Source organism: Homo sapiens, chromosome 12 (genome assembly GCF_000001405.40).
Source record: "Homo sapiens chromosome 12, GRCh38.p14 Primary Assembly".
In the NCBI taxonomy this organism is placed as follows: Eukaryota; Metazoa; Chordata; class Mammalia; order Primates; family Hominidae; genus Homo; species Homo sapiens.
The window spans coordinates 118,408,098-118,418,783 of NC_000012.12; the positions used below are offsets into that span (position 1 = coordinate 118,408,098).

The window sequence follows — 10,686 nt, forward strand, 5'->3', positions numbered from 1 at the left end:
ACCATGTTCGCCAGGATGGCCTCTATCTCCTGACCTCGTGATATACCCGCCTCGGCCTCCCAAAGTGCTGGGATTACAGGCGTAAGCCACTACGCCTGGCCAATTTTTTGTATTTTAGTAGAGACGGGGTTTCACCTTGTTGCCCAGGCTGGTCTCGAACCCCTGAGCTCAGGCAATCCACCCACCTTGGCCTCCCAAAGTGCTAGGATTACAAGCATGAGCCACCATACCTGGCCAGTTTTTTTTTTTTTTTTGAGACAGAGTCTCGTTCTTCCAGCCAGGCTGGAGTGCAGTGGCATGATCTCAGCCCACTGCAGTCCCTGCCTCCTGGGTTCAAGCAATTCTTGTGCTTCAGCCTCCCGAGTACCTGGGATTACAAGCGCACACCACCATGCTGGCTAATTTTTGTAATTTTAGTAGAGATGGGGGTTTCACCATGTTGGTCGGGCTGGTCTTGAACTCCTGACCTCAAGTGATCCACCCACCTCGGCCTCCCGCAGTGCTGGGATTACAGGCGTGAGCCACTGCACCCAGCTGTAACATGTGTATGTTTTATCATAAACACAGGAACATAGTTGACATAGTTTTTTTTGGTTTTTTTTTTTTTACCTACCAGTATATGGAGCATGTTTCCACACTCGTAATATTCTACACCACATCCATGACCTTTCTTTATTAAAGTGTTTAGAAAGTTGTATCAGAATGACTTGAGGGTAGTTGCATTTTGTTTTGTGTCTTTATCTCTTTAATAACTTACAGTCCCTTTAGAACAACTGTGAGTATTCTCCCTCTGTATTTTTATTTTAACCATTACTCAAGACATGACTGTTTACATAGGAGAGCTGGCTCAGATGTGAGAGAGAAACAAGGGGAAGTGTTAGTGTTAGTATGAACTTAGCCTTTTCTTATGCATTGTACAGTTCGGCCCTTGTGATAATACATATTTAGCATAATGAAGGTCCCCTGCCAGTTTACCAACTAATAAAGGGCCAAAAGCAACTTTAAAACTTGCATTTAAACCATTCTCGCTGTTCTAATTGAATTTAAAATTCTTTTTTTTTTTTTTTTAAGATAGAGTCTCGCTCTGTTGCTCAGGCTGGAGTGCAGTGGCATGATCTTGGCTTGCTGCAAGCTCCGCCTCCGGGGTCAAGCAATTCTCCTGCCTCAGCCTCCCGAGTAGCTGGGATTACAGGAGCCTGCCACCACTCCCGGCTAATTTTTGTGTTTTTAGTAGAGATGGGGTTTCACCATGTTGGCCAGGCTGGTCTCGATCTCCTGACCTTGTGATCTGCCCACCTTGGCCTCCCAAAGTGCTGGGATTACAGGCGTGAGCCACCACGCCCGGCCTAAAATTCTGTTTCTTTTAACAGTATTTTCAGAAAGTACATTGACTTGGAAACCTGAGTTTTCAGTTCATAAGTAGCAGGTTAAAGAGAATTGAGACCCTAGACTGGAAAAAGCTCATTATGGGAGTGAAGTGCATCCTTTACTTGCCATGTCTTGGCAATAGGTTATTTCCTTATACCAGCAAAACAGAATAAGCCATCATGCTTTGCTGGGAGATGTGTTTTACTAAATTTACACGAGTTTATGGGTCTGGTTAGCCAGATCTTTGCAGCCAAAATGAACCAAAGTTTATGTTATTAATCGACGTGGGGCTGGCCCAGGCCAGGGTTGCTAGCTGCAGCTCCGCTGATACTTCCAACTCTTGTAATCCAGCAGGGGCTCCTTCATCCTGTGGCAGCTGCTTTTGTCCCATTTGGGCTTTGGCCCCCAGCAACTTCACTTTCATCCTTGGCCTTGTCTCTGAACTTGTAGAAATAAGAAGTGGCCCTACACTACAGGTTGAGAGTAGATGCAGGAGTTGAAAGGGGAGTGTCTGTCTTATCTACTGTATTCAAAGCAGCTTTCCCAACTGTCCAGGCCAAATTAGATACCCTTTGGTATACGTCATGGCACTTGGAACTTTGCCTGATTAGCTGTTACCAGGTGTGGTTATTTAATGTTCCTTATCCCCAGTGTATTTGAATCTCTGTGATAGTGGAGAACTTGTGGCCTTTCTCACTGTTTGTCCCCAGCCTCCAGCATAGTCCGTGGTACACAGTAAGTGCTTAATGAGTATTTTTGAATGACTGACTAAAGGGTTAAAGTCAGCCTTCCTTCTTGTTGGTGACTGACTTGGACAAATAGAAAATAAATAACGGTGGCTTATGCCTGTATATTTTGTCTGTCCAACCTTCTTCAGTGTTCTGGTGTGGGGTCAGAAAGGGGAAACAGAGTTTTTATTTAACAATTTTTAATTTACTTTTTGAACTGGGTCATATAGTCCAAAAAAAGGGAAAAATACATAGTTTTCCAACACTTTCCTCAGCCTTTTCCCTTCTGTAGAGGGACCAAGGAATATAAGCTTTAGATCCCAAAGAAGATTAGGTGGTCTTCTAACCTAAGGATGGAAGCCTTTATTTATTTATTTATTTATTTATTTTATTTATTTATTTATTTATTTATTTATTTTTTGAGATGGAGTCTTGCTCTGTCGCCCAGGCTGGAGTGCAGTGGCGCCATCTCGGCTCACTGCAAGCTCCGCCTCCCGGGTTCACACCATTCTCCTGCCTCAGCCTCCCAAGTAGCTGGGACTATAGGCACCTGCCACCATGCCCGGCTACTTTTTTTGTATTTTTAGTAGAGACGGGGTTTTACCGTGTTAGCCAGGATGGTCTTGATCTCCTGACCTTGTGATCCGCCTGCCTCGGCCTCCCAAAGTGCTGGGATTACAGGCTTGAGCCACCGCGCCTGGCCTCAGGATGGAAGCCTTTAAATTAAGCTAAATGGGAAATCCAGGCTATTCCTCAAATGTGAATTATTAAGACTTCTTTAATTATAATTTTTGTTGTGATGGTGTTTTTGTTTTGTTTGGTTTTTACTTCCTGTCTCTGTCCCTCCCTTTTTAAAAATGTGTGCCTTGTTTTTGTCAGGTACCACAAGAGCCAGGCCATCTATCTGGAGTCAAAGGACAACCAGAAACTGAGCTGCGTGATCAGTTCTGTAGGAGCCAATGAGGTGGGAACCACACTCCCTCACCTTTAGGGAAGCAAAATGTGTACTGCGAAGTGTTGGTAGGGCAAACCTGAAATGAAAGTGCCACCAAGGAAGTACAGTGGAGTACTGTCTTCTATGTGGGTTAGATTCTAAAGTCAGGCAGAAATTGCACATTGTCAAAATCATCCTTGAAAAGTCCTTACATTCGCTTGACTACAACATATGCGGATTTGTCTATTCCATGGGGTATTTGTGAACTCCCGGTACAGCTACTGATTTGGGAACCACGGAGCTAGATTCCAGGAAAGAACAAAAAGCAAGTCTGTGTGGTGTCTGTACATTCAACTCCTGCTTCTTTTTTTTTATTTTTATTTTTTTTGAGACAGAGTCTCACTCTGTTGCCCAGGCTGGAGTACAGTTGTGCTATCTTGGCTCACTGCAACTTCCACCTCCCAGGTTCAAGTGATTCTCCTGCCTCAGCCTCCTGAGTAGCTGGGATTACAGGCACCCACCACCACGCCCGGCTAATTTTTGTATTTTTTTTTAAGTAGAGATGGGGTTTCACCACGTTGGTCAGGCTGGTCTTGAACTCCTGACCCCGTGGTCTACCCAGCTCGGCCTCCCAAAGTGCTGGGATTACAGGCGTGAGCCACCACACCTGGCCAACTCCTGCTTCTTTTTAAGGTAACCATCTACTGAGAATGGAGCTTGACTGTGGAGCATACTCCATCTTGGTTTTGTTTCTCTAGAACTTTCACACATACCAGTAGATTTGTTTCTTGCTGTGAGGATTGAATGAGGCACCTGGCACAGGGTCTAGCACCCAGTAAGTGCTCACTAAGTGAGTGCTGGCCTGAAACGACCCACACGCCACTTGCCTGCCGTCTTTCCTAGCTGAGATGTCCTATTGTGCTTCAAAACAAGTTGCCAGGGTTATGCCCTTGGTTTTTGGTCTCCTCGAGACACTCCTTTAGGATGGATGGGGTCTGGTTTTAAAGTCAGCTCAGAGGGTTATACCTGAGGATGATATGACTGCCCTCTGAGTTCTCCAAGTGGTCTTTCATGAGGAGTATATAAGCAATGTGTAACTTATGTTGTTAGTTAAAGTTAAAAACTTTAATAGCTGGATTGGCTTGATCTTTTATCAGTCCACAAATGTCTGCAAAGAAATTGATTTCTATGTGTCTGCCCTCTGTAACTTATTCGTGCCAGTGCACAGTAAATGTAATGAAACTGGATTATGAAGTAACTTAAGCCTCTTCTATTCTTCCAGCTTCCTGAATTGAAAATGCCCTGAAATGTGACTAGTTTGCAAAATGATTGTTTACTTAGAAGTTAGGGAGAGCCTTCTAGATAAATGAATGCCATTCTTCTCTGGGCTGAGGATCCGTGTGAGTCCCCTCAAGCCAAGTCAGAACCAGAACAGGGAAGCTAATAGAGAGACCTGGTCCTCAGCCAAGAGGTGTCACGATTTCATGGTAATCATTTGCACCTGGCTGTCTGGGTTGTTCCACAAGCACATGTGGCCTTCTAGTACCTGACCCTAACTTCAGAACCAGTGCATTATTCTCCTCTATGATACCTCAAGATTTTTCAGAAAAATATAAATGCAAGTTAGATTGTTTTTCCCCTCTCTCTGCCGAATATTGTCGCGTCTTGACATAATAGAGTGTCAGTGAGATCTGACAAATGGTGACACTGAAACACGTCTTCTGGAGGGGAGAAGCTTCAGTGCACTGAAGACATGCAACTCTGGCAATGGGGAAACCGTTCTCATTTCTTGAAAGTGTTCCAGCTCATTTTTCAGATCAAATTCTAGGTGACACTGGAGCTACTTGGCTTTAGCATAGCTTGACTCCAAGCAGGTTTGGTGGGTAGCTCTGAGTGTGTGGATGACTCCCTGACTTAGCTTTTCTTGGGATCAGTTTTTCATTTAAAATGATTCTGCAAGGTCCCTTGGAGGCTTAGCTTCATGTGAGGTCTTTAACTTTTTAAATTTTTAAGCCAGTGTATTTGACTTTAAAGCAGTAGAGATACTGCTGAATAATCACATTAAAGAAATTGAGATGAAACAGAATAAGCTTTTTTAAAACCTGAAAACTGAGTCCAGGAAGGAGGAGATAAATCTGTAAACTTGTATATTTGGGTGAGATGCAGACCTTTCAAAAAACTGTGCTTTTGGCTCTATTTAATTGCATGTTACAGAAAAACAGGCAAGAAGAAGCCAGAGACTGCTTTAGTAGAGAAGAGCCAGGGGCTTTGATGTCAGACACCAGAATTCACGTCGTGATAAGTGACTCAGCCTTGCTGAGCTTTGGTTTCCTCTTCTTTAAAATGGGGCCAATGATAGTAGTTATTTCATAGGGTTGTCTTGCGGGTGAAAAAGCTCAGCCTGATCAGCATGGTGTCTGGCACACAGAGCTCAGTAACCCTGGCTCAGGGGGTCAGGTGACTGGCAGCAGCTCCCCTTCTCACCCATGGCTTTAGGATGCCCCTTATTGAGTGCACTTTGTCAGCCCTGGCAGTCCCCTGTTGCAAGAGTTCATTCTCAATTCAATGGAAGAATGCATCTGCCCTGTAAAATGCACTGTAATCTAATACTGTCTGTGAGAGGGGGATATGGTGAGGAGGGAAGGACTCTCGGAAGTGCTTCAACCTTCTCATGATCCTAATTGGGCCTTAGCTCATTAGTGGGCATTTTTCTATTGTTGATATTTTTTCCCTGTTTTTCTGCACAACCATTAGCCTTCATTGCCAGGAAACCAAAGTATTGAAAGTTTGTATAATATGGAAGTCCCTTGGAGCAAGGAAAATACTTCCAAATTTGAAAGTTTGTGTTTATGAATAGATGTCTCTTGAGTGTTGATAACACAGTAATCAAACCAAATTTAAAAGCATCTTTAAGATCAAGGCAGAAATGGAACCCAAGATTGCTGTGCTTTCCATTTTCGTAATCACAGGTGTGAGAGAGATGGCTGAGAAACGAGTTCAAGGCTGATGCCTGTTCCCAGCGGCATGCCTTTAGATGGCCCGAGGTCAGGGGTGCTTATGAAGCCCTCACAAGTTGAGACAGTTTATTCCAGCAAGAGGCTACCAGCCTTCTGCTTGCATCTCACTCGTGCAGATATTTTGATGGTGTAGGAGATTTGCTCTTCTGTATTTAACTTTTCATCTTGTTCCCTTTCCTCTCCCCTGCAGATCTGGGTGAGGAAGACAAGTGACAGCACCAAGATGAGGATCTACCTGGGCCAGCTTCAGCGCGGGCTCTTCGTGATCCGCCGGCGCTCAGCTGCTTGACTTTCTACAGTGCTCTTCTCTTGACCCTTTTTCTGGAGTGGGTTTTATTTTTGTTTTGTTTCGTTTTCTCCTTAATAGAAAAATGTTAACTTACTGGGAATAGCTACTCAGCCTTGGAAATGGAGAGCACTGCAGTGAATTCTTTAGGGCACTTTTGTGGCCGGATGCTTCCAACTTTGTCAGTCTTTTCTGCCTCAACTTCTTCCAGACATCAGTCACCATGAGACTGTTTTACTTTCAGGCGTATTGGGGGGTTTGATTTACTTTCCTTTTATTTCTTTATTTTTTGCTTATACTTGTTTTTGAAAACCTCCTCTGAGTTTGAAGGGACAGCTATTTTTATTGATTATCTTTAAGTCTCTCTACCATGGAGAAGAGCAGGAAGGGATACACTCTCCAGTGCATTTTCATGTTTTGAATCTGATTAGTGGATCACGTAGCTACTTTCCCTGTCGCGTCCAATTCACTATTTGCCCAGAAGCTTGGGGCAGAGGTCCTAGCAGGAGATGATGAATTCTCGTGGCTCTCGGCCTTCTCAGAGAAATAAATGCTTTGTGTAACATCTGTGCACACCATCCATTCCGCTCGCTGAGCGATGGAAAAGCTTGCCTGGAAGACTATGTGCACTGAAGTAAATGGGGTTGGGGGAGGGGACATTTCATATTTATAATGTGCTGAAGGTACCATATTTTAAATGTTATTTAATGCAGGTGATTTATTCAAACATTTGTTCTAGCTTAAGCTGGAATAAGCAGTGGTCATTTCAGAAGTTTTCATTTGTAATTCCTTCCTCTCCCTTGTTCCCAAGTAGGTAGTAGTAAGTATGTGCCACAGGCTGATTATCTGGGTAATCTTTTACGGGTGGGAGGTGAGATTGATAGTGCAATAATCAGTGATCTATAGACCCTCATGCACGATTCAAGTTTCACTCTTGTGGCTGATGCCATTATTGCACATTGGCCATTCCAAACCTGTGGAGAACTTTGTTGTCAGGCCCTGAGCGCTCACAGCTTCATTTGGCCCAGGTTGAAGACAAGGAAAGCTCTGCTGTGGCTGCCTCTGGACTGACACCCTCCCTAATGAGTCCTGATGAAACAGCCTTTCCTACATCCTTCCCTCACTCCCATGATTGGAGAAATGATTCATTGGGTGATGAGTGTTGGGGTTTTCTATACTCATGTTGCCATCTTGAGATGTTCAAAAAATTTGGGGTTAGAGCAACTGTTAGCGTCTCTATGAGCAATCAGTAGAACTTACACATCCTAGGAAATCTTTCTTTGTAAGTAATTCTTTTGGTCTCAAGTGATTCTCTTCATGTTGTCTCTTGATGTACATACCCCCAAGCAAGTTGGGGGGACTGTGATGACAATTAAATCACCTTCTCTGAAGTTCTGGCTCTGCAGAGACCAAACCTTACTGACTTGTACAGACTTGTACAAGTAAAGACTTATACAGATAGATTTTTGTTTTAACTTACAATCCGTTTTTTCCTCTTTTTTTTTTTTTTTTCTGGTGTTGGAGTCTTATTTAGAAAACAGGATAAATGACGCTGTTATCAAAAGTTGCCTGGGGTTCTGTATTTCTTCTCTGCCCTCCAATCCCCGACTGCTATGATGTTTACTACAGTGAACCCAGCCCATGGTAAACACAGGCTTCACCTGTTCTTGTTTGTTAGCCTTGACTGTGAGGCAGGACTTCCCTCGCTTGAACTGTTACACATACGATGTGTGTGTCACATCACATATTGTGCAGCTGTTGGTTTTCATGTAGTGCCCTGCGATGGAAATTAGATATATTTCATGTATTTTTCCATTGAAGGTGGAGTTTTTCAATGATCATGTGTTTTGTCCTCCTAAACAGTATACCAAAGTTTGTTTTTATAGTTGAGGATTGTATTGATAACCACTGGGGTTCCGCATTGAAGCAGGAACAAATTGCCTCTTTTTCTGGCCTTCTCTGTGGGACCTCTGCTTTTGTGAAGCAACTATTTATTTGAAGACCAGGGTATGGGCACTTTTGCCTTCTCTCCTCTCTGACTTTTGAGGGTATTGAGGGCGCCCTTAGTCATAGTCTCGACTCCGCCATTGCCTTCTCCTCGGCGTCCTCACAACTCTTAATTGGGCCTAGTGAAAATGGGGGCAGGTGAGAAGTCCATTTTGAGAATCAGCATAGTAAATTACATTTCTAATCCCAGAGGACTTAATATTTTCTTTTGTCACCCCAGAGGTGAAAAATCAGCAGTTGAAGCCTGACAGGCCTCAGTGGTGACCAGGAACAGAAGCAGCCTTCCTGTTAGTAGATGGGGGTACTTCTGTGGTGGGCAGAAGCCTTACTAAAGGGGAAGACAGACTTTGAAGTTTCTAGACGAGAAGGAGGCTAGCTTCTAGCCTGGGTGGCCATTATTCCAAAAGGTCATTGTTTCTCACTAGACCCCAGGGCACCAGATGAATTTCCAAGTTTAAACTCTTTCCTGCAGGTGATTACTTTGAAAAAGGTTGGTCCAGACCATTTTGATCAAGAACCTGTATATGTGTTGTGTTAGAGGCATCTGCCTCAAGTCTATGTACAGTGTTTGCTGCGGGTGTGTTCCAATATTCATTTTACCTCTGCTTGGGGGTTTTGTGTGTTCCCCTCCCCCCATGCCCTGCCTACCCCCTTTTCCCTGAACCACGTCCTTTTGAATAATTTCCAGATGGATTTCTGTAGCCATACCAAAGCCAGGGTGTTTTCATTCATGCGGATACTAGTATTTATAGATGTCTGACTACCTAACTTAATTTTTGTTTTTGAACTTCTAATTGGGGCCAGTGTAAGGTCGATCCCAGAGGCTGATCTGCAAATCAAGCTACATGTATTTGTGTATAAGACCCTGTGTTCAGGACTGGGTGACTTTTCTAAGAAATATGGGGTTTAGAATGGGGTTGACTGTATTTTTTAACCTAATTCTGGAGAGAAGATTGTATTTTTTACAGTTTTTTGGGTTTGGCTTCCTTCTCACATTTCTTTAGCTTTGAATTTTTACTAAATAAATTTCCTCCTGATTAATTTTTTTTTTCTCATCTGGGAATTTGAAATCTCGGTGCTTACTGTTACACCAATTTGTCCAAAGAGTTGAAATCACTTTAATGCCAGAACATGGTAAATTTGCAGCCATTTCAAGCAGGTGATGGTCTTTTTTTATAACATCGTTAACGGGTACCATTAAATATTCTGAGAGGTGAATGTAAAATATAAAAGGTATAGGTTTTTTTTTTTTTTTAAAGAAAACAATAAACTTTCAAAGAGAAAACCAGCATGAAGTCTGTATTGTATCCATTGACTTGATAAGTGATAGAAATTTATTTTAGGTTTTTGATCCATTGCTTATGGGGAAAGGAAGTTAGGGCAGAGGAAGGGATATTCTAGACATTTAATTCTTAGTGAAGACTAAGATACAGAATGATGTCAGGCTAATACTCAGTTTTGTAAAGAGCAATCTGGGGTGTTGACCCTTAAATGTTTGTGCACTCTTCTTGTTGCAGATAAAAGTCATTAAAAATCAAGTGAATAGAATGGATCTTGGGTGGAAAAACAATCTTGAAATAAACTTGTGATTGAGGATATTGTTCATTTGGTGCATGATTAAGGAGGATATTGTTCCTGGCTTTTGAGATAGTGCCTACCAATCTTAACCAAACAGTGATGGTATTTGTACTGCTCCCGGGGTCAGCCAACAAGCCTGCGTGCTGCCACAGGTGACCGACCTGTGACCCAGTTATGGCACCCCTTTGGGAAAGACTGCTTTATGCTTTAGATGATGGAGAGGGGTGGTTTCTGTTTTTAAAATGTTTGAATTAGACAGAAATGTGCACAAGTTTTAATTGTAGAAGTTGTTGAAATCTCTCAAAGTGAATTCATCCATGTAACTATTATAGCATCCAGATCAAGAAATAACATTCCCAGAACCCACAAGCCCCTTAGACTTTCAGCTACTCCTCCCAACTAGTTTTCTCTATTTTAAGTACCTTAACCTTCAAGCTCTTGAGCTGCTTCCTTCCATGGTTGTTCTAGAAGAGCCAGGTACCTGGTATAGGCTAGGGATTGACCAGGAATGCAAAGAGCTAGCAGCAAAGGATATGACTAATTGGGGAGGGGAAAAACAGATTCAGGTCAACCTGCTCACCCTCCCCATTGTTCCCAAGGCAAGTGGGGCTTGCCCTTGATGTCATAGTCTGCCTTTTCCTGAGTACTTTGTATATATGCCAGGCACTGTACTAAACCCCTCATGGGAGGCACTTTCTCACTAATCTTCACAATCTCTGAAAGAGTACTAACTCCCAAATTTAAGGCTGGCTCAGTCTAAGCCTTGAC

The 10,686-nt window shown here is 43.0% G+C and overlaps 1 protein-coding gene across 5 annotated transcripts in view; it reads left to right on the top strand.

Moving 5' to 3' along the window:
• The window catches only part of SUDS3 (SIN3A corepressor complex component SDS3), a 41,479-nt gene extending 31,543 nt beyond the window's left edge, over positions 1-9,936 (top strand). For all 5 annotated transcript variants that reach the window (NM_022491.3, XM_017019817.2, XM_047429356.1 and 2 more), the window contains 2 exons: positions 2,976-3,060; positions 6,238-9,936. In NM_022491.3, coding sequence (NP_071936.2) covers positions 2,976-3,060; positions 6,238-6,336 — 184 coding nt within the window. In that variant the 3' untranslated portion in view covers positions 6,337-9,936. The remainder of the gene's footprint in view (positions 1-2,975; positions 3,061-6,237) is intronic.
• The last annotated feature ends 750 nt before the right edge of the window (positions 9,937-10,686 follow it).